Source organism: Homo sapiens, chromosome 16 (genome assembly GCF_000001405.40).
Source record: "Homo sapiens chromosome 16, GRCh38.p14 Primary Assembly".
NCBI classification, from domain to species: domain Eukaryota; kingdom Metazoa; phylum Chordata; class Mammalia; order Primates; family Hominidae; genus Homo; species Homo sapiens.
The window spans coordinates 81705383-81732812 of record NC_000016.10 but is presented as its reverse complement, the minus strand read 5'-3'; the positions used below and the strand labels follow the sequence as shown (position 1 = coordinate 81732812).

The window sequence follows — 27430 nt, the reverse complement described above, 5'->3', positions numbered from 1 at the left end:
GGGGAATATGGCCTGGGGACCATCACCTCCACCCCTGCCTCATGGGGTCTCTCCCAAAGCTCACACCTGGACCACCATTTGAACATCCCTGTTGTCAGCCAGAGAAGCAGCAATGGCCTACGGAGGACAAGGGCAACCCCAGCAAAATGAGGCAGGTGCTCAGAAAAGGGAGGGGCTGAAGGAAACGTGAACTGAGTTTTGAGGCCAAAGTCTTAACTAGCTTAGACTGACTTTGTGCTACTAAAGGTATTTTAAGAAACTGGAAAAGCCCAGGCATGGCGGCTCACACCTGTAATCCCAGTGCTTTAAGAAGCCAAGGCAGGAGGATCACTGAAGGCCAGGAGTTTGAAACCAGCCTGGGCAACGTGGTGAGACCCCGTCTCTATAAAAAATTTAAAAATAGGCATGGTAGCACTGGCCTGTAGTCCCAGCTACTCAGGAGGCTGATGTGGGAGGATCACTTGAGCCCAGGAGGTGGAGGGTGCGGTGAGCTATGATGGTGCCAGTGCACCTCAGCCTGGGTGACAGAGTGAGACCCTGTCTCCAAAAACAAAAAATACATCTATTAAAAAAACAAACTGGAAAGATTTGACAGAGCAGTCCATAGCGCCAAGAAGAACACCATTTCACACATGTGCTCCAGGGAACACATGTGTGAACACATATGTGCTCAACAATAAATAAACCAGCGGCTTCCAAAATGTCCCTTGTAGGTCCTGGGGCCACAGGGAGGATTCCGTGACCTCATAAAGCATTCAGGACACTGCTTGGCACAAGGAGGGGCTCGGTCAATGTTCCTTAGTGAATAGGCATTGGAAACAGAACGGGGGGAGTGGAAGGAGGTCAGTAAGAGGCTTCTGGTTCCCTCTTCATGTGCTCCTGTGCAGGCCGGGTCTCACTAACGCAGGCTTCATCACAACGGCTTCGGCACTGACCGAGTAGTTCAGTGAAACATTAATAGCTGAGAGAGCCAGTGCCCTTCTACAAAGGCTGGAATGTCACAAAAGCCCACCAAGAGTTTTGCCTGGGCCTTTCCTGGGCCTTGAAGCATGACAGGATAACGAAGGAATTCTTAACAGGACCTGTTTAGGATTAAACAAGTTTTACTGGGGGTCTGAAATAACTCCCCAGGCCTCCACAGGCAAGTTTATTGGGGGTCTGAAGGAACTCCCCAAACCCCCATGATTTAGCAGGAGACAAGATAAGGGTAATCACCGCAGCACCTGGACCCATTTAGATTAAATAAATTTACTGAGGCTCCAGAGGAAGAGCTTCAGGACTCAGACCTTAGTTATAGAAGTTAATCACGGCTAGGCATGGTGGCTCAAGCCTGTAATCCCAGCACTTTGGGAGGCCCAGGTGGTTGGATCACAAGATCAGAAGGTCGAGACCAGCCTGACCAACATGGTGAAACCCTGTCTCTACTAAAAATAGAAAAATTAGCCTGGGCGGGGTGGTGCATGCCTGTAATCCCAGCTACTCAGGAGGCTGAGGCAGGAGAATTGCTTGAACACAGGAGGCACAGGTTGCAGTGAACTGCAGTGCACTGCACTCCAGCCTGGGTGACAGAGTGAAACTCCGTCTCCAAAAAAAAAAAAGAAAGAAAGAAAGAAGTTAATCACTTATGTCTTTAGATGAATACACACTCAGACGTAGACATATAGCTTAGAAGGTACATAATCTCTGGAAAACTTTGTAATTTTGAGTTGGTCTGGGGATAATTTCCAGGCCTTCTCCCTGCACCCGGTTACAGAAATCAACTCCTTCCTTTCCCCGTTCATCTGCATCTCGTTATTGGGCCGCGAGAATAAGCAGCCCCACCCTCAGTTTGGTCCGGAAACACTCCTGTTAAGGGGACGACGACAGGAGCATGCCAGAACACTCTTATGCCAAGACAACTTCCAGATTGGGGACTGAGTCCGCCCCTGAGAGGGCAGTCCCTGGACCCCAAGGTGGGGAAGCCTGGGCCCCCATCTCAGGGGGTTCCCCATCCGCTACCCCAGGAGCCAGCGCAAGGCCGAAGCCACGTCTGGGCGGCAAGGGTCGGGGCGGGCTGGGTGCAGCAGGGAGCCCCGCCCATTCTGGGCATCCTGCCTCTGGCAGGGTTGTGCTCTTAGGTGGAGCCACCGCCTGCAGGACCCAGGTCTGTGCCCTCTGCTTCCCTCAGCCTCACAGAGCCTCCCAGCCCGGGCTCCCGCAGCTGCAACGCTGGGCAGGGAAGCCGGGTCTCCATGACAACGTTGACGTCACCGGCCCGGGGCTGGGAATTGCCTCCCGCCCCCAGCAGCGGCCAGGCCCAGCCCCAGCCCGGATCTGCAGCAGCTGGGACCCCAGGAGCGTTGGCGCCTCCGACCCTGTCCTCTGACCTTCCCGTCCTGGCCACCAGGGGCAGACAGGCGTGAACGGGCCAGCCAGGCTCTCACCTGCCTGCCACCTTCCCGAGATCCCGCTTCTTCCCGCCCTTCCCTTTTGTCCTCAAATTGCTCTCAGCTGGTTGCAAGCTCAACAGACCTCGCTTCCTGTTTCATTAACTGGAAACCCCCTCCCGGGAGAATGTGCATTTTAATAGAATGTGGGGAGCGATGAGCTCGCTGCTCTCTCGATGGCTTCACCTCTGCCTCCCTTTACTCCACAATACAGAACAACTCCCAGGCCGGGCGCAGTGGCTCACGCCTGCAATCCCAGCACTTTGGGAGGCCAAGGCGGGCGCATCATCTATGGTCGGGAGTTCGAGACCAGCCTGACCAACAAGGTGAAACCCCCGTCTCTACTAAAAGTACAAAAATTAGCTGGGCATGGTGGCGCATGCCTGTAATCCCAGCTACACGGGAGGCTGAGGCAGAAGAATCACTAGAACCCGGGAGGCGGAGGTTGCGGTGAGCCGAGATCACGCCATTGCACTCCAGCTTGGGCAACAAGAGCAAAACTCCATCTCAAAAAAAAAAAAAAAAAAAAACAAAAAACCTCCCAGATTATCATATAGCCCCTCCCACATCCCGGGCGTCTACCCTGTAACAGCTTCCCACTGCCCTAGTGCTGAGACTTCAGAGGCCTCGGCTCTCTACAGCGGCCCAGACCCCCGTACCTCCTCCTGTTCCTCCTCCTCCTCCTCCCCACTTCCAGCATCTGTTCCGCCGACGAATTGCCAGGCTCTGCCTCGGGGCCTCCGCACATGCTCTTCCCTCTGCCTGCAAGGCAGTTTCCTCCTCCGCCTCCCCTCGGGCTGGAGACTCCAGCTGCTCTCCAGGCCTAGGCTCGCAGGTGAGCTCAGTGCTGCCCCCTCTTGAAGGCGCTCACAGCAGCCTGCACTTCCTTTCGGCCCTCCTTGCTGTCCCCAGGGTGAGGACAGTTAACAATAACGTGGTGTGTGTTTCCAAACAGCGACAAGAGACGTCTGAATGTTCTCACCACAAAGAAATGATCAAGGTTTGGGGTGATGGATTTGCTGGTTACCCTGATTTGATCATTACACAATGTATACATGTATGGAAACCATAAATATGTACCATTGCCAAGTATTGTGAACCCCAAAGTATCTGAGACAGGGCTCAATCAATTTAGAGAGTTTATTTTGCCAAGTTTAAGGACGTGCCGGTGACACAGCCTCAGGAGATCCTGAATGTGTCGAAGGAGGTCAAGGTACAGCTTGTTTTTATACATTTTAGGGAGGCGTAATACGTCAATATGTGTAAGACTGACATTGGTTCCATCTGGAAGCGTGGGACAACTCAAAGTGTGCAGGGCCTTCCAGGTTGTAGATGGATGTAAATTTTTCTGATTGCCAATTGGTTGAAAAGTTATTATCGGTAGTAAGAAATGTCTGAGTCGTGGCCGGGTGCCGTGGCTCACGCCTGTAATCTCAGCAGTTTGGGAGGCTGAGGTGAGTGGATCACTTGGGGTCAGGAGTTCGAGACCAGCCTGCACAACATGGTAAAACCCCATCTCTACTAAAAATACAAAAATTAGCCAGGTGTGGGGTCACATGCCTGTAACTGCAGCTACTTGGCAGGTTGAGGTGGGTTGAACCTGGGAGGTGGAGGTTACAGTAAGACAAGATCATGCCACTGCAGTCCAGCCTGGGCAACACAGTGAGACCCTGTGAAGAAAGAAAGAGAAAGAAAGGAAGGAAGGAAGGAAAGAAGGAAAGAGAGGGAGGGAAGAAAGGAAGGAAGGAAAGAAAGGAAGAAAAGAAGGAAGGAAGGGAAGGAAGGAAAGAAAGGCAGGGAGGAAGGAAGGAAGGAGAGAGAGAGGAAGGAAGGAAGGAAGGGAGGGAGGGAGGAGGGAGGAAGGGCATGCTGGCTCACGGAAAGGAAGGAAGGAAGAAAGAAAGAAAGACAGCCGGGCGTGGTGGCTCACGCTTGTAATCCCAGCACTTTGGGAGGCCGAGGCAGGCTGATCATGAGGTCAGGAGATCAAGACCATCTTGGCTAACACAGTGAAACCCCGTCTCTACTAAAAATACAAAAAAATTAGCCAGGCATGGTGGCAGGCACCTGTAGTCCCAGCTACTCGGCAGGCTGAGGCAGGAGAATGGCGTGAACCCAGGAGGCGGAGCTTGCAGTGAGCCGAGATGGCGCCACTGCACTCCAGCCTGGGCGACAGAGAGAGACTCTGTCTCAAAAAAAAAAAAAAAGGAAGGAAGGAGAAAGACAGAAAGACAGAAAGAAAGGGAGGGAGGGAGGGATGGAGGAAGGAAGGAAAGAAGGAAGGAAAGAAAGAAAGAAAGAAAGAAAGAAAAGAAAAGAAAAGAAAAGAAAAGAAAAGGTCTGAGTTGCCATATGGGTTGTAGAGACCAAGGTGTTATCATGCAGATGGTGCCTTCACGTAACAGGCTTCAGAGAGAATAGATTGTAAATGTTTCTTATCAGACTTAAGGTCTGTGTTAAAGCTGGAGGGTATAATAAGAAATGTCCAACCCCCTCTTCCATGACGGCCTGAACTAGATTTTCAGGTTCATTCTAGAATGTCCTTGGCCTAGAGGAGGGGTCCATTCAGAAGGTTGCAGGGCCTTACAATTTTATTTTTGGTTTACAGTGTCCATTAAAAACAAAATAGAATGCAAAACAAAAAGGAAAATGATTTGTATGATCATTTGTTTAGCAGCTGCCTCCATCCCCACACTGTATGTGGCCTGAGGGTGAGGATGGCATTAGTTCCATTCACTCCTGAGTCCCCAGTGTGCCCAACACACAGTAAGTGCTCAACACATATTTTTAGATGGCCTTATTGAGGTTTAATTGACACACCGTTCAATTCACCCTTAGAAAGTGTGCACTGCAATGGTATTTAGTGTATTCAGAACTGTGCAGACATCATCATGGTCGATTTTAGAACCTTTTCATTACCCAAAAATGATACCCTGTACCTGTGGGCAGTCACCCTCCTATCCCCCATCCCCCTCAGCCCTAAGCAAGCACTAACCTACTTTCTGTTTCTATAGACACTCTGGATGTTCGTATAAATGGAATCACACATTATGTGGACTTTTGTGACTGGCCTCTTCCACTTAGCACAACTTTTTAAAGGTTCTACTTGATACATTGTGCTCAGTGAATAAATGAATGGGTGACTGGATGAATGAAAGGCTGTGAGAAGCAAAGGCAGGGCCCTCTCCTGATGGGATGATGGGCAGTGGAAACGGGGGCTCTGGATGCACTTTGGGATCCACGTCTAATAAGGATGCAGCTCTGACTGAGTCTACAACTGCCTGCCCCAGGCACATCTCTGATGGTCTGCAGCCCAAGATCAAAATTCCAGTCTCGTTGCCCAACCCCTGAGTTTAGATGTAGGTCAGATGCCCGATCCACCGCCCCTCATTCCATGAGAAGAGCTGCTTTCTGTTCTTCACACTGGCATTTTTCATTCATTCATTCATTTATTCCACGGGTGCACGGTTATGATCTACAAGTCCTTTGTAAATGAATATACTCTTATTTTAAAAAATCAATTGCAAGAGACAGATGCTGGCTCTCAATTGAGACTTTGGGGTAGACCTGGGAATCTTACCTCTGCAAGTCCATTCTGCCAGAACCCATTCCAGGAGGTCATGCCTGAGACCTTTAGTGCTTGGGGTTTGATGGGACAGTGCTCCCCGGTGGCTTGGAAAGCCTCTCCGTAAACATGCATGCTAAGTAGAAAGATTTTACCAACATGTAAATGCTGTCTCAATTCCTGCCCCCTCAGTGCCCCAATTCCTTTTCTTGTGTTTGTTTGTTTTTTGTTTTGTTTTGTTTTTGAGATGAAGTCTTGCTCCGTCGCCTAGGTTGGAGTGCAGTGGCATGATCTTGGCTCACTGCAACCTCTGCCTCCGGGGTTCAAGCAATTCTCCTGCCTCAGCCTCTCAAGTAGCTGGGACTACAGGCACCTGCCACCATGCCCGGCTAAGTTTTCTATTTTTAGTAGAGATGGGGTTTCACTGTGTTGGCCAGCCTGATCTCAAACTCCTGATCTCAAGTGATCCGCCTGCCTCAGCCTCCCAAAGTGTTGGGATTACAGGCATGAGCCACTGCACCCGGTCAGTGCCACACTCCTTATTATGTGGCCACTGCCTTGGCTACTGGTTTATAGAAATTCTAGAACTGCATTGTCTACACAGCAGCCACCAGGTATAGATGGCCGCTACTGAGCACTTGAAATGTAGCTGGTGTGAACTGAGTCGTGCTCTAAATGCAAGACACACACCAGATTTTGAGACTTAGTATGGGGGAAAAATACATAAACTATCTCATTAGTCATTTTTTATATTGACTACACATTGAAATGATAATATTTTGGATATGTGAGGTTAAATAAAATATATTGTCACAGCATTTTGGGAGGCCAAGGCAGGCGGATCACCTGAGGTCAGGAGTTTGAGACCAGCCTGGCCAACATGGTGAAACCCCATCTCTACTAAAAATACAAAAAAATTAGCCAGGTGTGGAGGTGAGCCCCTATAATCCCAGCTACTTGGGAGGCTGAGGCAGGAGAATCGCTTGAACCCAGGAGGCAGAGGTTGCAGTGAGCCGAGAACATACCATTGCATTCCAGCCTGGGTGACAAGAACGAAACTCCGTCTCAATCAAAAAAAAAAAAGGAAGGAAGGAAGGAAGGAAGGAAGAAAGAAAGAAAGAAAGAAAGAAAGAAAGAAAGAAAGAAAGAAAGAAAGAAAGAAAGAAAGGAAAGAAAGAAAGAAAATAAAATGTATTGTCAAAATTAATTTCACCTATTTCTTCTTAATTTTTAAAATGCGGCTACCATAACATTTAAATTTATCTACGTGGCTTGTCTTCTATTTCTTTTGAACAGGGGTGGCCTGGAGCATCCCCTATCTGTGATGGACACGTCTCCAGGGCTGTGAAATGCATTACTGCTATTCACAAAACAGCCCACAAGGGAATCACTGTCCCCCACCTGCCCTGCCCAGCAGTAGCCAGTGGATGGATAGGGAGAGCCCCAGAGAGGAGCTGCTTCTAGGGTAATCCTGGTCCCAGCAAGTAGCTGGGATTGCAGAGCCTCCTTCCCAGTGGATCTGAAAGCCCCTTCTCCTCCCTGGCAAATCAAAGAGGAGGAACATGCCTGGTGTTCTCGGGGCGGGGAAACAGTGCATTGCTCTTACCGGCACAGTTACAGAACAAACAGCCTAGAGAACTGTCGCCGGGTGCGAGAAGGAGTCTCTTCCATCCTGTCCTCATCCTTGTCGTTCTGCAGAGATGACCCAAAACGCTCCAGGGAAAGTTTCATGGCCCCGAAAGGCAGGTTTCAGTACAGTGATGAGTGGATCCTGCACATGGATTTGTTTGCTGACAGGCATCTCCCTGACAAATCAGAGGGAAGCTAGCCCAGGCTTCTTGGACATGCAACCTGCGCAGTCACACAGAACTGAGCTTCGAAGGGTCCTGTGCTTGGTTTAATGCTCTGCTAATGCTTTCTTAAAATTCTTAATCATTTTTTGAACAGGGAGCTTGCATTGTCACTTTACACTGGGCTCTGCAATCGACATCGCCAGCTCTGAGCCCAGGGCTGCTCCAAATTGAAAGTGCACAAGAAACACCTGAAGATCTTGTTGAAACATAGATTCTGACTCAGGAGGTCTGGGGTGAGCCCTGAAGCTCTGCATTTATCATGAGCTCTCCACAGGCCACACATTGAGCAGCAAGGCTTCTAGACCAGCGGTTTCAGCCCTGGCTGCACATGAGAATCAGTTAAGAAGCTTTTCCAAGTCACACATCCAGGCCCCATCCCAGAGTCAGCATGTTTTAAAGCTCTTCAGGTGATTCCAATGTGTAGCCAAGGCTTCTAGGGCAGCGCTTCTCAAATTCTGTGTGCACGCGAATCACCAGGAGACCTTGTTAACAATGCAGATTTGGCAAGGTGTGGTGGCTCATGTCTGTATTCCAAGCACTTTGGGAGGCCGAAGTGGGCAGATCACCTGAGGCCAGGAGTTCGAGACCAGCCTGGTCAACATGGCGAAACCCTGTCTCTACTAAAAATACAAAAAATTAGCCAGGTGTGGTGGCGGGCACCTGTAATCCCAGCTACTCAAGAGGCTGAGGCAGGAGCATTGCTTGAACCCGAGAGGCAGAGGCATAGACTGCAGTGAGCCGAGATCATGCCATTGCACTCCAGCCTGTGCAACAAGAGTGAAACTCCATCTCAAAGAAAAAAACAAAAAACAAAAAAAACCAATGCAGATTCAGGCCTGGTGTGGTGGCTCACACCTGTAACCCCAGTACTTTAGGAGTCTGAGGTGGGAGGATCGATGGGGCCCATGAGCCCAGGAGTTCAAGGCTGCAATGAGGTATGATCACTGCTTTGCACTCCAGCCTGGATGATAGAGTCAGATCGTATCTCTAAAATAAACTCGGCTGGGCACAGTGGCTCACGCCTGTAATCCCAGCACTTTGGGAAGCCAAGGCAGGCAGATCGCTTGAGACCAGGAGTTCAAGACCAGCCTGGCCAAAACGGTGAAACCTTGTCTCTACTAAAAATACAAAAAATAGCTGAATGTGGTGGTAGGTGCCTGTAGTCCCAGCTACTTGGGAGGCTGAGGCAGGAGAATCACTTGAACCTGGGAGGTGGAGGCTGCAGTGAGCCAACATTGTACTACTACACTCCAGCCTGGGTGACAGAATGAGACTCCATCTTAAAAAAAAAATAAAATAATTAAAATGCAGATTCTGATTCGTCATGTCCAGGTGGATCCTGAGACTGCATTTCTAGCAGACTCTCCCACCATACGAAGGCTGTGCATCCGTGGATCACATTTTGAGTAGCAAAGCTCTAGACTCAGTCAATTTTCTATTTCTAGTTAGTATCAGCATTGGAGTGGGGACAGAAAGGAAAGGCAACACTAGATTTTTCACGGCCTCGTCTACATGTGGATAGAGTACACTGAAAAAATAAAGTCAAATATCCTACCATGTATACACGTGCAGGTTGTGCACTGCACAAGTGTGCCACATCTATGGGAGTCTGTTCACACCATAGGTTTGTATATTTATGGTGACAGTTTTCCAGCAGATGGCAGTAGAGTGTTTTAAGAAAGGGACACAATGTTCACCCAGAGGCTTCACTAGGATGGACGAGTGTTGCTTTGATAGAAGTCAGGGTGCCACCACTCCCCATCCTGAGTCCAGACACAACAGAGGGGAGGAGCAGCCATCTTTTCATTGAAAGGAAAAATCTTGCCTGGCACAGTGGCTCACGCCTGTAATCCCAGTACTTTGGGAGGCTGAGGCAGGAGGATTGCTTGAAGCCAGGAGTTTGAGACCAGCCTGGACAATGAAGTGAGGCTCTTGTCTCTTAAAAATAAAAAATAAAAAATTAGCAAGGCATGGGGGTGTGCACCTGGAGTCCCACCTGCTCAGGAGGCTGAGGCAGGAGTATCTCTTGAGATCAGAAGCTGGAGGCTGCAGTGAGCTAAGAGGTACGATCGAACCACTGCACTGCACCCTGAGTAACAGAGCAAGACCCTATCTCAAAACAAAAACAAACAATCTTTATTGATGTTGCTTTTTTTATTGAGGTGAAATACATGAAACATAAACCATTTAACGTTTTTATTTCAGTGATGTTTAGAATATTCGCAATGTGTGCAACCACCACCTCTAGTTACAAAACATCTTCCTCATCCTAAAAGAAAACCCCACAACCACTAAGCAATCACTGCCCATTCTTCCTTCCCTCCCACCCCTGGCAAACACCAATCTGCTTTGTATCCCTATACATTTGCCCGTTTTGGATATTCCAAATGCAGAATCCTACAATATGTGGTCTTTTGTGTTTGGCTCATTTCACCTAGCATGAGGTTTTTGAAGTTCATCTGAATCATAGAATGTATCAGTATTTCATTCCTTTTTATGACCAAATAGTAGTATTCCATTGTCTATGTGTACCACATTTATATATTTATTTATTTGTGATGGACAAAATTTCTCTTTTAATTTTTTTTTTTTTTTTTCACACAGAGTTTTGCTCTTGTTGCCCAGGCTGGAGTGCAATGGGGCAATCTTGGCTCACTGCAACCTTTGCCTCACGGATTCAAGCAATTGTCCTGTCTCAGCCTCCCAAGTAGCTGGGATTACAGGCATGCACCACCATACCTGGCTAATTTTGTATTTTTAGTAGAGACGAGGTTTCTCTGTGTTGGTCAGGCTGGTCTCCAACTCCTGACCTCAGGTGATCCACCTGCCCCGGCCTCCCAAAGTGCTGGGATTACAGGTATTAGCTACCGTGACTGGCCCCTGTTTTATAATTTTATTTATTTTTTCTTATGCTTTTAAAGGCAACATAAATGGACAAAATTTTGAGTGTTTCCACTTGATGCCACTTTTTAAGATTTGATGTGCAACATATATGGTAACTTACACAAATCTGAAGAGTAGAGTTTTGTGAATGTGTAAACGTCTGTGTAGCCACAGATCAAGATGTGGAACCCAGAAGGTTCCCTCCTCCCCTTTGTATTTGTCCATTTTTACACTGCTATAAAGATACTAGCCAAGATTGGCTAATTTATAAACAAAGGAACTTTAATTGACTCACAGTTCTGCATGGCTGGGGAGGCCTCAGGAAACTTACAATCATGGCGGAAGGGGAAGCAAACACGTCCTTCTTCACAAGGTGGCAGGAGAGAGAAGAATAAATGAAAGAGGAACTTCCAAACAGTTACAAAACCATCAGTCTCATGAGAACTCACTCACTATCATAAGAACAGCATGGGCAAAACTGTTCCCATGATCCAATCGCCTCCACAAGGTTTCTCCCTCAACACCTGGGGATTACAATTCAAGATGCGATTTGGGTGGGGACACAAAGCCTAATTGTATCACCCTTCCCAGTCAATAATAATCCCCCTTACAGAGATAACCAGTGTTGTGACTTCTGTCATCATAGGTGATTTGTGCCTATTCACGAATTTCTACAAATTGAATCATACAGCAAATCCTTTGTTTCTGGCTCCTGCCACACAACATAATACTTACCCAATTAATTCATGTCATTGTGCATATCAGTCGTCGGTTCTTTTTCTCCTGTTTTGTAGAATTCCATCTTATGAATATGTCACCGTTTATGTTTTCATTCTCCCGTTAATGGAGACATTGGTATTGCTCCACTGTTTGGCTCTCCCACAGTTTGTTTATTCATTCTCCTGTCAGTGGACATTTGGGTTGCTTCCACTTTTTGGCTATTGTAACTAATGCCACTATAAACATTCTTATTTGCGTCTTCTGGTGGATGGATGAGCTCAGTGCTCTTGAGCTCTTCTCCTGCACATCCAGGAGTGAAGTTGCAGGGTCCTAGGGTAGGCATATGTTTAACTTTAGTAGGTTGGCTCTCCAAAGTGGTTGAACCCATCTATCCTCCCTTAGTGATGCATGAGAGTTTCTTTCAGCAACCACCCCCATCTCTGAAAACAATGCAAACTGGTTCTCAGGCTCCCAATGGCAGACACCTACCAGGTTGGCCAGGAGGCCCCTCTGTCACTGATGGTCCAGGAAGGTATACCTGGTGACTGTGCAGTTTTCCTGGTAGAGTCTTCCTGGCCTGCCTTGGGAAGGGCTGCCCCTTCAACCTATTCCTCTGTCTTCTAACATAGTTAGTCACTGTCTTAGTCTGGACTTCCCTAGAAGCAGACACTGAGATAAAGATTTTCATTTGAGAGTTGGTCCCAGGAAATACCAATGGGACAATGGAAAATGAGGTGGAGAAGGGAAGGAAATCCTAACAAGCCCGTGAGCACTGAGGGCAGCTGGAGATTAATCCCAGGGAGGGACCCTGGGAGCCAGAGGAGAACATGGGCCTCAGAACTCTCCACTTCCCATGAGGAGTGAGGGAGCCGGGGTATTGATACACCACCTCCCATCTGTCATTGGTTGAGGGCTGCTGCCTGGGCAGAGGTGTTAATTCTAGGCCCTTGCAGCCTGTCTTAGGAAATAAGCCAAGGAAACTGAAAGTCACCCTTGACTCCATGTGCACCCTCCCTCCGTACCAACCACCATGTGCTGCTATTTTAAGCCTGAGCTTCCCTTGAATCTGTCTATTTTCTCCACAGGGTCCAAGTCCCAGACCCACACCCATCCATTTACCAACAGTGGAGGGATCTTCCTATAGTGCCTGGCTTATAACCTTGGCTCTGTGCCCTGCTTACTGTGGGACCTTGACCAAGAGATCCAGACTTTCCTGGCTTCCACTTCCCCATCAATAAGGGGTCATATAAGCGCCTGCCTTGTAGGCATGCTAGGAATAGTACATCAGTGTAGTCCTATAAAACCCTTCCTACTGTGCCTGGTGCACAGACAGTGCTATATAAGTGTTTTGTTTTAAAAATCAGTAAAATAATTGCAACCTTTTTTTTTTTTACAATTGCACATACCTCTCAGGACAAATCCCAGACTCCTAAATATGATTCATTAGGTTTTGGCTGGTCTCACCTCCACCTTCCTCTCACAGTGTGCTGCATGATGGCCCCCAGACATACATCCACGCGGAACCCGTGAATGTGACCTTATTTGGAAAAACAGTCTTTGGGGCCTGGTGTGGTGGCTCATGCCTGTAATCTCAAAACTTAAGGAGGCTGAGGTGGGAGGATCACTTGAGCCCAGGAGTTCAAGATGAGACTGGGCAACACAGTGAGACCCCATCTCTACAAAACATTTTTAAAAATTAGCTGGACATGGTAGTGCACGCCTGTAGTCCCAGCTACTCGTGAGATTGAGGCAGGAAGATTACTTGAGCATGGGAGATTGAGGCTGCAGTGAGTCATGACTGTGCCACTATACTGTAGCCTGGGTGGCAGAGCCAGACCCAGAAAGAGAGGAGGGGAAGGGAAGAGAGGGGAAGGGAGGGGAAGGGAGGGGAAGGGAGGGGAAGGGAGGGGAGGGGAGGGGAGGGGAGGAGAGGAGAGGGGAGGAGACGGGACGGGACGGGACGAGACGAGACGAGACGGGACGAGACGAGACGAGACGAGACGAGACGAGACTGGAACTGCAAAGATTGCAGCTGTGATAAAGGATCTCAAGACAAAGTCATCCCGGATCATCCAGGTGAGCCCTGGTTTGCTTCCACTTTTTGGCTATTAAGTCCAGTGGCATGTGTCCTTATAAGAAGGGAGAGAACAGACAGGTGACGAGGCCATGCGAAGATGGAGGTGGAGGCTAGCGCTGTAGCCACAAGCTAAGGAGCACCCAGAGCCACCGGAAGCTGCAGGGGCAGGGCATGTGTCCTCCCCCGTGCTTTCAGAGGAAGCACAGCTCTGTCTACAACTTGATTTTAGGCTTCTCCAAACTGCTAGAGAACAAGTTTCTATTGTTTTAGGCCACCCAGTTTGCGATAAGTTGCTACAACTGATATATTCTGTAACTAAGTACTTAGTAACAAAGTATCCAAAAGAAGATGCCTTAAAATAAGAGATTCACCTTCATCCTCTCACAGTCTGGCAGCTGGAAATCGCAGTCTTGGTGTCTTTCTGAGGGCTGCGAAGGGGAAGCTGCCACGTCCTCCCTCCTGGCTTCTGGTGTTCACTGGCCATCTTTGGCTTGCAGCTGTACCACTCCAGGCTCTGTCTTCATCCTCATGTGGCCTCTTCCTGTCTCTGTCCTTTCACTCTGACTTCCCTCTATGCATATCTCTGTGTCCAAATTTCTCCTTCCAGCTGTGCATGATGGCTCACGCCTGTAATCCCAGCACTTTGGAAGGCCAAGGCAGGTGGATCACCTGAGGCCAGGAGTTCGAGACTGCCTGGCTAACATGGTGAAACCCCGTCTCTACTAAAAATACAAAAAAATAATTAGCCCGCCATGATGGTACACGCATGTAATTGCAGCTACTCGGGAGACTGAAGCAGGAGAATCACTTGAACCTGGGAGGCAGAGGTTGCAGTGAGCTGAGATCATGCCACTGCACTCCAGCCTGGGCGACAGAGCAAGACTCCAAAAAAATAAAAATAAAAATAAAAATAAATAAATAAATAAATTTCTCCTTCTCAAATGGGTATCAGTCATATTAAACTTGTGCTCACCCTAATGATCTCACTTTAATTTGATCACCTCTGTAAAAACCCTATTCCCAAATAAAGTCGCATTCTGAGGAACTGCAGTTTAGGACTTCAATGTCTCTTTTCTGGGGGATACAATTCAACCCTGACAACCGTACACCCCCAAGCCCATCACACTTCCCACTGGCCGTTCCCAGCCTATATCCGGCTCTGGTCTGTTGCCAAGTCTTTGCACACTCCCTTTTCCCCTCTGGTGACTCAGCAAACATTTTCATTCTTCATTCTCAACAATACCACCTCCTCCAGGAAGTCTCCCGTGATGCCCATAGGCCTGGGTTCACTGCCCACCATCTGTGCCTGCCTTAGTGTCCTGTCATGGCATTTGCCATGCAGTATGTGACTGACTCCTTGCCAGCATGCTTGGGTGCTGAGCCCCTGGAGGACAAGGGCCATGTCTCTTGCTGCTGTTTCTTCTTTCTCTAAACCACTTTATTGTGGTCTAATTAACACAGAGGAAGCCATGCATATTTAACGCTTACAACTTGATGATTACGGAGATGAGTATACAGCCGTGAAACCATGCTGAAACAGCCTTTGCAAAATTATAACAGGAAAAATGACGGCAGTGAAAGAAATCAGACCTAACCAAATCAATCTTGCTTCTAACCTTTAAGCTGTCCTTGCTCATTCCTGGGTGTAGGCCGAACTAACTTTAGGAAGGAATTCAGTTCATGGTTTGACTCTGAAACAAAATTGATAAGAGCCCTTTCCCAGAAAGACCCCCTTCTTGCCTGGGGACCAGACTGCCTTTGCAGGACTAACAAATTAGCTACAAGGTTAGAAATTACAGTTTAGGGCCAGGCACAGTGGCTCATGCCTGTAATCCCAGCACTTTGGGAGGTCGAGGCGGGCGGATCACCTGAGGTCAGGAAGGTCAGGAGTTCGAGATCAGCCTGGGCAACACGGTGAAACCCCGCCTTTACTAAAAATACAAAATTAGCCGGGCATGGTGGCACATGCCTTTAATCCCAGCTACTCGGGAGGCTGAGGCAGGAGAATCGCTTGAACCTGGGAGGTGGAGGATGTGGTGAGCCGAGATTGTGCCATTGCACTCCAGCCTGGGAAACAAGAGTAAATCTCCGTCTCACAAAAAAAAAAAAAAAAAAAAAATTTCAGTTTAGGGATCATGCAGCCTCTGGCTCCAAGAGTATGAACCTTCCCCAGATTGCTCCTGGGCATAACATCACTATCGTAAAACCTAAGATCAGTGCTTGAGATATGTTGCAGACCCTGCACTCATGGATCAGCTGACACCACCCAGACAGGTAATCTGGCTCAACCAGTTCTGCCATCCCACCCAGGGACAGAAAACAGCAAGAAAACCTCACTTCAACCCCCTGTGATTCCATCTCCAGCCCCACCAATCAGCCCTCCCCACTTCCCAAGCCCCCACTCGCCAAATTATCTTTAAAAACTCTGATTCCCAAATATTCAGGGAGACTGATTTGAATAAAAATGAAACTCTGGGCTCCCGCACAGCTGGCTCTGTGTAAATTACTCTTTCTCCATTGCATTTCCCCTGTCTTGATCAATTGGCCCTATCTTGATCAATTGGCCCTGTCTAGGCAGTGGGCGTGGTGAACCTGTTGGGTGGTTACATACAAGAAGCCGTACATATTTAACACATACAACTCGGTGAGTGTGGGGATGAGCATACACCCGTGAAACCATACTGAAACTGCCTTTGCAAAATTTTAACAGGAGAAATGATGGCAGTGAAAGAAATCAGACCTAACCGACTCTATCTTGCTTCTAACCTTTAAGTTGTCCTTGTTCATTCCTGAACGTAAGTCAAACTAACTTTGGGAAGGAATTCAGTTCATGGCTTGACTCTGAAACAAAATTGGTAACAGCCCTTTCCTGAAAAGACCTCCTTCTTGCCTGGGGACCAGACTGCCTTTGCAGGACTAACAAATTAGCTACAAGATTAGAAATTTCAGTTTAGGGGTCATGCAGCGTCTGGCTCCAAGAGTCTGAACCTCCCCAAATTGCTCCTGGGGATAACATCATAGTCTATGCCATAAACCTTTCCATCTCCTTCAAAAGTTTCCTCCCGCCCCAGTTATTTGTTATTACGATTGTGTGTGATAATAACATCTCCATGCTTAGCAAATCTTAAGTATATACTGTAATATTGTTAACTATGGTCATTATGCGTATGGTACTTCTCAAGGGTTTTTCCATCTTGCATACCTGAAACTTCGTTCCCTTTGACCAATACCTCCCCACTTCCCCCTCCCTTCAGCCCTTGGCAACCACCATTCCACTTTCTGTTTCTATGAGTTTGATTATTTTAGATTCCTCATAGAAGTGGTATTATGCAGTATCTGTCCTCCTGTGCCTGGTTTATTTCACTTAGCACACATGCCCTCCAGTTCCTCCACGATGCTGCAAAGAGCAGGATTCCCTTCTTTGTAAAGGCGTAAAGGACACCACTTTGGAATGGTGTTCCATTGTGTGTATATATCACATTTTCTTTATCCATTCATCTGCTGAGGGACAATTGGGCCGATTCTGTATCTTGACAGTTGTGGACAGTCCTGCAGTGAACATGACAGTGCAGATCTCTTCTCTAGATCCTGATTTCAATTCCTTTGGATATGTTCCCAGAAGTGCGATTGCTGGATCATATATGGTAGTTCTGTTTTTCATTTTTTGAGGAAGCTCCCTGCTGTTTTCCACAGTGGCTATCCACCAATTTCCATTCTCACCAACAACGTACCAGGGTTCCCCTGTTCTCCACACACTCACCAACCTTTGTTTTCTTTTGTTTTTGATGATGGCCACACCTCACAGGTGTCAGGTGGTATCTCATTGTGGTTTTCATTTGCATTTCCTTGACGATTAGTGACTTTTTTTTTTTTTTTTTTTAGACAGAATCTCGCTCTGTCACACAGGCTGGAGTGCAGTGGCGCGATCTCAGCTCACTGCAACCTCTGCCTCCCCGGTTCAAGCAATTCTCCTGGCTCAGCCTCCCGAGTAGCTGGTATTACAGGCGTTCACCATTACGCCGAGCTAATTTTTTGTATTTTTAGTAGAGGTGGTGTTTCACTATGTTGGCCAGGCTTGTCTTGAACTCCTGACCTTGTGATCTGCCTGCCTCGGCCTCCCAAAGTGTTGGGATTACTGGCATGAGCCACCGCGCCTGGCCCCTTTGCCCATGTTTATTTCTATCGAATTCTGACAGACCTTTGCCCATTTTTTAATTGGGTTATTTGGTTTTTTGTTATTGAGCTGTAGGTCTTTTGCTTCTTCTCACATGTTTTCTAGCACTCCCCCTGGACCTGTTGGAAGCAGGTCCTCAATAATGAATTGCTGAATGCATGAATGGATGAATGAATGAATGAGGCCAAGCCCTTTTCCAAGATTCTCTGATCTCTTTTTTCTTATTGTGCTCTGGGGGAGCTTCTAGCAAAGTCTAGCTAGCTTTAGAGCAGCCTGTCAGTCACAAATGACAGCTCAGCTCACCAGGTTCTCATGCTGCACAACTCTGGGGAGCGCCATTCACACTGCAGTGTAAGAGACCGGAAGACAGCGCGTTCTAAGGCAGGCGCTGTAAGTGGGGCAACGTGGAGATGTGCATTGCCAGGCAGCCCCAGAGCTGTTTGTAAGAATCCAATTGTTGCCCTCTTGGTTGAGCTTCACACTGCTCCCAATGACAGGATTTGCCTTAAATTTTCTGAATTAGGCCGGGCCCGGTGGCTCATGCCTGTAATCCCAGCACTTTGGGAGGCCGAGGCAGGCGGATCACCAGGTCAGGAGATCGAGACCATCCTGGCTAACACGGTGAAACCCCGTCTCTAATAAAAATACAAAAAATTAGCCGGGCGTGGTGGCGGCGCCTGTAGTCCCAGCTACTCGGGAGGCTGAGGCGGGAGAATGGCGTGAACCCGGGAGGTGGAGCTTGCAGTGAGCCGAGATCGCGCCACTGCCCTCCAGCCTGGGCGACAGAGCGAGACTCCGTCTCAAAAAAAAAAAAAAAAAAAAAAATTCTGAATTAATACCGCTGTCCCCAGCACGGGGTTAGATCTCTGTTGGACTCTCACTGGGCCCATTTGGGGCTGGCACCAACAGTTGCTGGTTTTACTTGGAGGTGGGGGATGGTCATTGAGGTAGGTCCTCGCAGAGACCCCTCAGAGAGAAGAGAATTCTGGAGAGAAGGAAAGAAGCGCTAGCTATGAAGGGTGGGCGGGGCTCCAGGCTAGGTAATTAGCAAGGGATGCAGAGGCACCCGGGAACCCAGGAACCAGTAACCAGTAACCAGGGGAGCTATCACCACCCCTGGGTTGAAGGGCGAGGGGAGTACGTGGTGTAACTCAGTGCAGCTGGGAGGAGGCACAGGCCAGGTGTGAGCATCGCAGAGGTGCAGGCAGGGTTAGGGACGCTGAGGCACCCAGGAACCAGCGAGGGGCAGTTCCCAGGCTAAGGCTGAAGGGGCGAGACAGGGAGCTGTGTTACCTCGAAAGCTGGAATCCTGGTGAGCAGCCCACGGAGGGAGGCAACTCCTGCCAGCAACGGGCACAGCGGCTGGGATGCCAGGGAAGACACCCCCTACTTCTTCCAGCGGGGAGCCTGCATTCTCCAGCTTCACCCAGTGGGCAGAGGAGCCCAGCTGCTGCGGGGCAGAGCAGGGAGGAAGGCTGAGAGTGGCCCCCGGCTACATCTTCCCCCAACCCTTGGAGCAATGAACACCTGTGGTGAGCCAGGCCCTACGCCGGTGGAGAAGGCAACATGGAGCAGGCTGAAGCGTCTGGCTCGCGCATGCACACGTCTATACCACTAGCTGGTCCTCTGGCCTGAGGATGGGAGCTCAGGCAGCCAAGGGCTCTTTGGACTGTTCATTTGATGTCCTTGGTGAGGCCTCTCACCCCCGCAGTCAAGAGCCCTCCTGTCCTTTTTCCATAGCGCCTGCTCTCCGTGTGACCTGAGGAAGGCGCCGCTGAGTGACTGACACTATTTTTTTTTTTTTTTTTTTGAGATGAAGTCTCACTCTGTCACCCAAGCTGGAGTGTAATGGCGAGATCTCGGGTCACTGCAACCTCCGCCTCCCAGGTTCAAGTGATTCTCATGTCTCAGCCTCCTCAGTAGCTGGGATTACAGGTGTGGGCCACTATACCCGGCTAATTTTTGTATTTTTAGTAGAGATAGGGTTTTACTACATTGGCCAGGCTGGTCTCGAACTCCTGACCTCAGGTGATGTACCCGCCTCGGGCTCCCAAAGTGCTGGGGTTACAGGCATGAGCCACCGCACCCAGCCTTCTCACCTGTCTTAAAAAGACCTGGCAGAGGCCTCTGGAAGGAGGCCACCAGGGCATAGAGAGAGGTGGGGCAGGTAGCAGAGGGAGCTGGATGGTGTGGGGACGGTGGGGGCTGGCAGGGGGCAACTCCAGACACAGAGTCTCTGGAGAGCTGGTTTCGGGCCGGGCCCATGGTGGAGAGGCAGAGGACTGGCTCGTGGACATCCTGGATTTCTGTCAGCATGTGGAGGCAGGACATGCCTGGGCTGAGGACAAGGATACCCCTGCTGAGCTGGGGGACCCTGAAGGGTGACTGGTTTAGGAAGAGGGGTGAAGATAAAGCATTTTTTCTTTACTTTTTTTTTTTTGAGACGGAGTCCTGCTCTGTCGCCAGGCTAGAGTGCAGAGGCGCAATCTCGGCTTGCTGCAACCTCTGCCTCCCGGGTTTAAGCGATTCTCCTGCCTCAGCCTCCCGAATAGCTGGGACTACAGGCACACGCCACCACGCCCAGCTAATTTTTGTATTTTTAGTAGAGACAGGGTTTCACCATGTTGGCCAGGATGGTCTCGATCTCTTGACCTTGTGATCCACCCGCCTCGGCCTCCCAAAGTATTGGGATTACAGGAGTGAGCCACCGTGCCTGGCCAAGATAAAGCATTTATTTTTGGACTTGTCAAGATTGCCTCTTGGAGACATCTAGGGGGAGGAGGCAGCTGAAGTGTGGGTCTAGGAACCTGGCATTGACCAGCAGCACAGCATCACCTGGAAACTCGTCAGGAATGCAGATTCCCAGGCACCACCTAGCGCTATGGCGTCAGTATCTGCGTTTTCACAAGACCCCCTAGGTGGATGGAAGGCACATTCCTTGGAGTAGCTCTGGGCTACAGCTTTCGTAAGGCCCTGCTGAACAGCAGCACTGACCTCAGTCTATGACACGGAGTCTCAGCTGGGGAGCGAACTATCCCCCCACGGGACACGTGGCAACATCTGGAGACACTCTGGTTGTCATAAATGGGGAAGGGGTGCTACTGCTGGGTAGAAGCCAAGGATGCTGTTCAATGTCTGGCAATGAACACAACAGCCCCCCTGCAACGAAGACAGCTCCGGCCCCAGTGGCCAACAGCAGCCAGGATGCTGAGCCCTGGTCCTCAGGAAGTGCGCACAGAAGGTGGCGAGGGCATCCCGGCACTGTCTTGAGCCTCAGATTTCCCGCCTGGGCTTCGCCCCCTCCTTGGACCTTCTCCCGCTGGGCGCCGAGAAACCACACAAAGGCCAGACATTGATGAGTCACTTACAGTTTATTTTTGCCTGAAAGTATTTCACATCTCTTTGTACACAGCTACGTGACAGTAGTATTAACCATCAGGAAAAGCAACAGTGCGAGGGGAAAGGTGGCATGTCTTGTTTCTTCTTTTTTTTTTTTCCTTTTTTATTTTTTTTATTTTTATTTATTTTTTTATTTTTATTTTTTTTGCTTCTGCTTCTTCCCGCACCAGAGTGCTGTGAAGTATGGGACCGGAGGGGGGAAAGAAAAGAAAACCAAACAACTAAAAACAACAACAAAAAACAAAACACAAAACAGAACACACTCACACACACACGAAATAAAACCTGGCACGGAAAATGAATTAAGACTGGAACCCAGTTTCTTTTTTTTTTCCTTTTTTAAAAAAATGAGGGCATAGTGGGGGGGTAATAAAGTCTACCTAGCAAAGTATAAAACGACAAAAGCATGGTTTCCATTGAATAAGATTAAATATATATAAAACAAGTACACTGACTGTGGGGTAGGTTTGGAGGTGCCGGAGGAGGGAAGTATTTGTGCTAAACCAACAGAAAAAAGGGCTGGGGGGAGAGGGGGACCCCAAATAAACCATCAACGGGCTGTTCTGTACAGTGAGGGCTTATTAAGAAAAAGCCGACTGTTTATAAAAGAAACGGAGGTTGGTTTGTCTTCGGAGCAGGTGGGGACAGAAGGAGTGTCTTCGTTGCAGTGGTCACATGTGGGGGGTGGCGGGGGTGGGGTGGGGAGGGCAGTCGGACTGGCGGAGGCGACACATCTCTCTTTTCCCAAGAGACCATGCAGAGAGGCGGGCATGCATGGGGCCACGTGAAGCACACGATGGCAGGGGGAGCCCAGGGGTGACAGAGTCTCCGTTGGGGACAGGGGACAGCAAAGGCTGACAGGGACAGGAGCTCCCTGGGGGTGGGGAACAGCTCTTTTACCGGGGTGGACTGGAGAGGGCGGGTTAGCAGCCTCCCATTCAAGTCTAAAAGGTGCCGAGAGAAAGAGCTTGGGCCTTAGTGGAGCAAGGGGATCTTAATCCCTCCTCCTCCAGCCTGAGCCCCACCTCGTGAGGGAGTTGGAGACATTTGGAAATCAGAAACGCACAGTGGTGGGTGGGGGAGTGGGCAGACAGACAGACAGACGAGAGAGCATTAGCATAGAGAATCCATTACGAAAAAGCAATTAATTTTTCCAAGGAGGTTCTTTTTTTTTTTCTTCTTTTTGTTGTCTGTTTGTTTCCTTTAAAAAAATAACAATAATACTACCACTAACCCGACAGCTGACTGGTTTATACAGTACTACACGCCAGGTGGGGGCGGGAGGGCGGTGGGGTCGGGCGGGGGGGACGGTCAAAGACTTCATAAATAAGAGGCGGGTCCCAGACCCGCAATTTGTCAACATGTCTTAAATAGGTGCATTATTTAAATCTTATGTACAACAAGAATCACTTTGCATAGCAATGGTGAGGACACAGGACGGGTGCAGTGATGTGACTGGGTCTTCTTGTCCCAAGGGCGGGGGGCGAGTTCGCAGCTCAGCTCGGAGCCTCTAGGAAGAAAGCATCCTTCGTCCGGCCCGCAATGGTGGCATCGGAGTTGACTTTTCCCACACGACGGCATCAAACACAAAGGCAAAGAAAATCCACAAAGGGTCCCCCACCCCCCAGCCCACCCCCAAACCCCTCCCCGACCCGCTGATGCTCCTCTTGTTGCTACAAAGTCCACTTTAGATCAGGTCAAAGGTTCCAATTACGAAGCTAAAAGAATTCGGCGGGGGCTGGGCGTGCTTGTGGGCCCCCTCCCCACCCCCTCCCCCCTCCGCCCCCAGAAAGACTCCCCATCTATCTCACAGCCAGGGCACCAGGGTGGGACCCCAGGACCGGCTGCTCTGCGGCTGTTAGTCAAGAGTTATTTTGTCGCGGTTGCAAACGTCTTCCTGCCTTGAGCTGGGAGCTTCACCAGGCTTCGGTGTAGCGGACGTCCACTTCCTTCAAATTGGGAAGCTTGGCCTGGGGGTGGCAATAAGAGTCCTTGTCACGTGTAGGCCATTCCCTTGCAGAAGCTGCCAGTGCCTGGCTCCACCCGCATTGCCGGCTGGGGGTCTCTGCCACCCTCTCCCCACCTTGGTGCTGTGGGCTACCTGGGCTCTTGGAGGGGTGGGTGGCCTTAGGCAGAGAACAGAGCAGGTGGGATGTGCCCTGGCCCCGGAGAAACCAGGCAGCGGGGTTCCCATGCCCCCGCCTCAGATGGCCTTTGGTCTCTGTCTTCGCAGGTGGAAGCACTGGGGTTTGAATCCAGGCCCTGCCACTTGCTGCTGCGTGACCGTGGGCAGATAACCCAGCCTCTAGGGGCCTCAGTTTCTTCCTCTGTGGGCCCATCTGACTCTAGTCCCTGGCTCAAAGGATGGTGCTAGGGGTTAAATACCAAATGTAGAAAGCCCAGGGCACCGTATATGCCCTATGAAAGGAAATTGTTCTCATTTTTACTGTTAGTGATATTCTCATCGTTATCAGAGAATGGACAGGGTGAGTGACGTGGATCCCAGGAAATCCCAGGTACCCAGGGTTTGGCTTAGATTCTTCCCACTTGAGGCTCCCCCTAGGCTGGATGCATTACTCGACTCTGTGATTCCACCTGCTATGTCTCTCCATTGTTTTCTGCTTTCTGTTTCTGCTACCCAGACTTCCACTTTTCTTTATGAACAGTTGGCTTTTTTTCTTAACAAGCCTCCACTATACAGAGAGGTAGCTGCCTCCTAACTGGCCTCATGCCTTTACATCCTCCCTCCCAACTTTCCTGTACACTGGCCAGCACACTTTTTGGATACATGTACACGTATGTATGCATGAACACACACACATACACACATGCACATGCAATTCCTCGCTGCTGCTCTCCTGTGCTCAACAACCCTCAATGGCTCCCCACTGCCCAGGCAGAGGTTACAGGTGGGGACCTGCAGCCACCTGCAGTGCTATAAAGCATACTAAGCCAGCCTTTCAAAATTAGGAGACTTCACAGACGAATCTAGATTTCAAGGTTCTCTTGAAAAATGGGAAGGTCTGGCCAGACTGGGCAGTGAACAGTGGGGCGTGGCCTGCCTGGCACTGAGCAGAGGCCCCTCCTCCAAAGGACAGGCAGCTGCTGTTTGCTCGAGTCCCCTCCACAGGGAGGCCGGTCACAGGCTGGCAGCATTAAGTTGGCACCATGTCTCTCTCAAATGTGTGAAAATAAAAAAATCGACTGAAAGTGATTTTTCTTCCCAAGGGGCCTTTCCTGCACTCCCCATGTTCTCTTTCCAGCTTGGTCTCACAGTAGCATCTGACTTTCAGCACTTTGAACTCAAGATAATCCAGGCAGCATTTCTCAAACACGAGTGTGCCCAGAAATCCCCCAGGGTGGGGTTACCTGGGGTGGCCTGGATCCTGCATTTCTGTTGGCCCCCGAGTGGTGCCGAGGGTGCTGGTCTGCAGACGCCACCCTGAGGGCTGAGGTCTAAACGCTGGGATGGGTGATCTGCTGGCTGTGCCCCTGCCACCTTCTGTGTCCCATACGTCCTCTCTTGGACCTCGCTCTCTACCGACTGTCCCTCCTGGCCCCACCAGGCCCTCTGCCCGCCTTGGTTTGCTGAGCTTGCCTGTGCCTGCCAGGAGGGACTATCCCCCGGAAGGGGACTGTGGCAGCCACACCTCGGTGTCCCTGTCCCTGACATGGGCCTGGTACACAGCAGAGGCTCCAGAAGCATCTGGAGGATGCCCCAGTGAGCACGCCCTGGCGGCAGGAGGCCTGGCTGTAGGAGGTGGGCCCCGGCCAAGGGCTGCCGGGGGATTCCCTCTAAGTAGCTTCCAGAGCACGAAGGTGCCAGCGTGGCTCACGGGTGCCATCTGTGCCTTCTCACCTTTGAGCCCAGCCCTTCTCTCCCAGGATGCTGGCCCTCTGCCAGTCCCGCCCGCTCCTTCTGGGGCAGCTGGTACAGGCCCAGGAGGACGGGGTGACAGGAGGCGACTGAGGGCCTGGCTCCTCCAACCTTCCCAAGATGTGCACGTGTGTTTCTTAAAACGCCCCTGCCTTCCACCCTCCGATCCTTTTTCTTTCCCGGATTTCACTTGCTGGCCTAGTGCCGGTGCAGCGCAGCCCTCAGTGGTGAGGCACCAGCCCTGCTCAACCCTCCCTGCTTCTACTCCTGCTCCCTCTCAAAATATTTATTTCCTAACAGCCAGAGCATGCTTTGAAAAGCATGACTCGCTGCTCTGCTGTGACCTGTGAGGGCTTTTTCCATCCGGCCCCAGCCCATTCCCTCTCTCAGTTCCTGGTTACATTTGCTGCAAAGCCAGGCCTCGCCCATCTCTTCTGTCTCAGGACCTTGGCACTTGCTTTTCCTCTCGCCCTTGGTATTTCTGGCTTCTTATGTTTTGGGTCTCAGCTCCTGCGGCCTCTTCATCAAAGGCACCATCCCTGATCACCCCAGGCCACACAGGCCTTCCTATTTCCAATTACTTCCCTGCTGCTTCCTCTTTGTCACTCTTTTTGATCTGCCATTATTTTATGTATTGATCTGTAGATGTCATCATCCTTTACTGGAGAACGAGCTCTGTGCAGGAGATGCACCAGCATCCAGATGCTGGCTAGAAGAAGGAGGGGAGGAGAGTGGGGAGGAAGGAGGGAATTACCTTCAGATCTTCGTAGGTGTCAGCTGAGAGCTTGGTGCTGTTCATGTTTAAACTGCAGAGACTCTTCATGGCTGCACAAGAGACAGATACAGTTGTTAGGAGAGCGAGGCCCCAAAGGTATGAAGGTATGGGATGGCCAAGCTGGAGGAGCTCAATGCAGGTGCCAGGCCCCCTGTTAGGAGATGGGGCTGGGGAGGGAGGTTTCGTAGACACAGCCAGGGTAGGTGGCCCACTAGACACCGAAAGTCTATTTCAGGCACGTGCTGGTCTGAACAGAGCCTTCGTTTTCTTCCCACCCTCTGAGCCTCCCTCCCTTCTGGTCCCTCTGTCGTGTGCCCCCACTGCCTGGACCTGATGTCCCCAGAGCTTGCCTGCCACACCCCAGATCAGGCCCGAGGCCTCCCCACTAAGGGAACCCCGGATGGTCCCCCCGTCGTCATTGACTCGGTGCTGCTTCTTGAAAGCAAGCCTCAACCTCTGGTTTGTGTTGGAGTCGCACGGGGGGCAGACCCCTCCACCCACTCCCAGAGACGCTGAGCAGGGCCGCAGCAGGGACCAGGAATCTGTGCTGTTGATGAGGACCGCGCCCCCCCGGGGGACTCCAGTGGAAGCAGCGCATCTGCATTTGCAGCCAAACTGGCCGAGCGCTGCCGCTCTGCCTCCACTGACCCAGTCACCTGCTCCCACCTCCTCCCAAGCCACCCAGCATTTGCCAGCGGCCCGGTAGGAGTCATGGCCCCTGCTCAGGGTGCCTCCCCCTTGGCCAACTCCCACAAATCTGTCTTCACACCCAGACTCAACAGCACCTCCCCGGGAAGCCTTTTCTGACTCTTCCCACTGAGCCACGGGTCTTCCCGTCTAAAGCAGTGGGCCTGGAAAAGGGAAAGCTGGTCAAATACAGAATCCCGGGCTCAATATCCCTGAGGCTAGTTCAGTCACCTGGGGTTTGGCACACAGGAACTGGCCTTTCTAGGTTCCTTGAGAATTCTGTGCCTCCTTCTATTATGACAGGGCTTCTCAAATGTCAACGGGCACGGGAGCCTCCCAGGCATCTGCTTACCGTACGGTGTCTGAGTCAGGAGGTCTGGAGTGGGCTTGGGAATGTACATTTCTGACCAGCCCCCAGAAGACGCTGCCACCACTGGTCAGGGGACCACAGTGGCAATGTACTACAGCCCCGTCCTTGAACTCGACCCCTCAGTGGACTGTGAGTGTCAAGAGGCTATGGGCTGGCCTTACTCATTTTTTCTATTGCCTCTAGAATATAAGCTCTCTGAGGTTAGGGATATTTTTCCCTGTGTTGTTCCTGGCACATGGAATGGTGCCTGGTCCACAGCAGGTGTGCAGTGAACACGTTTGTGAATGAACGAATTTCTCTATCTGTGCATGGTGCAAAGTCAGTGCTTGGCCAGTTTGGCTGAAGCAAGGAAGGAATGAATCAAGCGGCCCCTCACCCCCCAGCTGCCCCGGAGGCACTCACAGCTCAGGGCCAGCAGGCCAGCGTCTGTGACCGGGGTCTCGCACAGGTTCAGCACCTGGAGCATGGTGAGGTGTTCCGACAGGAGCCGAAGGCCAGCGTCTCCAAACTGTAGAGCACAGAAACTCTCAGCCCTCTCCCGGCCACTCCTGGGGAAGTGACTCTGAGGCTGGGGCAGAGGTGGAGGAAAGGGATGGGGACAGAGCCTGGCTCTGAGGCCCATGG

At 50.4% G+C, this 27430-nt stretch overlaps 1 protein-coding gene across 11 annotated transcripts in view, besides 9 other annotated features; it reads right to left on the bottom strand.

The window, feature by feature from the left end:
• Positions 7967-8215: a silencer, noted in NCBI's record as "fragment chr16:81758203-81758451 (GRCh37/hg19 assembly coordinates)". NCBI's record gives its function as "represses an EF-1alpha promoter that drives an FKBP-Casp9 reporter gene in an ReSE screen in phorbol 12-myristate 13-acetate-treated (for megakaryocytic differentiation) K562 erythroleukemia cells {active_cell/tissue: K562(+PMA)}" and the evidence as "EXISTENCE:reporter gene assay evidence [ECO:0000049][PMID:32094911]".
• Positions 13535-13829: an enhancer, noted in NCBI's record as "tiled region #4528; HepG2 Activating non-DNase unmatched - State 22:ReprW, and K562 Activating DNase matched - State 5:Enh". NCBI's record gives its function as "activates a minimal TATA promoter and a strong SV40 promoter by Sharpr-MPRA in HepG2 and K562 cells {active_cell/tissue: HepG2 | K562}" and the evidence as "EXISTENCE:reporter gene assay evidence [ECO:0000049][PMID:27701403]".
• Positions 13909-13958: an enhancer, noted in NCBI's record as "active region_11199". NCBI's record gives its function as "activates an Ori minimal core promoter by ATAC-STARR-seq in GM12878 lymphoblastoid cells {active_cell/tissue: GM12878}" and the evidence as "EXISTENCE:reporter gene assay evidence [ECO:0000049][PMID:35858748]".
• Positions 14826-15025: an enhancer, noted in NCBI's record as "active region_11198". NCBI's record gives its function as "activates an Ori minimal core promoter by ATAC-STARR-seq in GM12878 lymphoblastoid cells {active_cell/tissue: GM12878}" and the evidence as "EXISTENCE:reporter gene assay evidence [ECO:0000049][PMID:35858748]".
• Positions 15046-15125: an enhancer, noted in NCBI's record as "active region_11197". NCBI's record gives its function as "activates an Ori minimal core promoter by ATAC-STARR-seq in GM12878 lymphoblastoid cells {active_cell/tissue: GM12878}" and the evidence as "EXISTENCE:reporter gene assay evidence [ECO:0000049][PMID:35858748]".
• Positions 15450-15673: a silencer, noted in NCBI's record as "fragment chr16:81750745-81750968 (GRCh37/hg19 assembly coordinates)". NCBI's record gives its function as "represses an EF-1alpha promoter that drives an FKBP-Casp9 reporter gene in an ReSE screen in K562 erythroleukemia cells {active_cell/tissue: K562}" and the evidence as "EXISTENCE:reporter gene assay evidence [ECO:0000049][PMID:32094911]".
• Positions 18547-19227: an enhancer, noted in NCBI's record as "H3K4me1 hESC enhancer chr16:81747191-81747871 (GRCh37/hg19 assembly coordinates)". NCBI's record gives its function as "activates a minimal SCP1, AML or CMV promoter by ChIP-STARR-seq in naive and primed H9 embryonic stem cells {active_cell/tissue: H9 hESC(naive and primed)}" and the evidence as "EXISTENCE:reporter gene assay evidence [ECO:0000049][PMID:30033119]".
• Positions 19228-19909: an enhancer, noted in NCBI's record as "H3K4me1 hESC enhancer chr16:81746509-81747190 (GRCh37/hg19 assembly coordinates)". NCBI's record gives its function as "activates a minimal SCP1, AML or CMV promoter by ChIP-STARR-seq in naive and primed H9 embryonic stem cells {active_cell/tissue: H9 hESC(naive and primed)}" and the evidence as "EXISTENCE:reporter gene assay evidence [ECO:0000049][PMID:30033119]".
• Positions 20592-21274: an enhancer, noted in NCBI's record as "H3K4me1 hESC enhancer chr16:81745144-81745826 (GRCh37/hg19 assembly coordinates)". NCBI's record gives its function as "activates a minimal SCP1, AML or CMV promoter by ChIP-STARR-seq in primed H9 embryonic stem cells {active_cell/tissue: H9 hESC(primed)}" and the evidence as "EXISTENCE:reporter gene assay evidence [ECO:0000049][PMID:30033119]".
• The window catches only part of CMIP (c-Maf inducing protein), a 266955-nt gene continuing 260575 nt past the window's right edge, over positions 21051-27430 (bottom strand). For all 11 annotated transcript variants that reach the window (XM_047434717.1, NM_198390.3, XM_011523352.2 and 8 more), the window contains 3 exons: positions 27209-27314; positions 25729-25799; positions 21051-23067 (listed from right to left, as the gene is read on the bottom strand). In XM_047434717.1, coding sequence (XP_047290673.1) covers positions 23014-23067; positions 25729-25799; positions 27209-27314 — 231 coding nt within the window. In that variant the 3' untranslated portion in view covers positions 21051-23013. The remainder of the gene's footprint in view (positions 23068-25728; positions 25800-27208; positions 27315-27430) is intronic.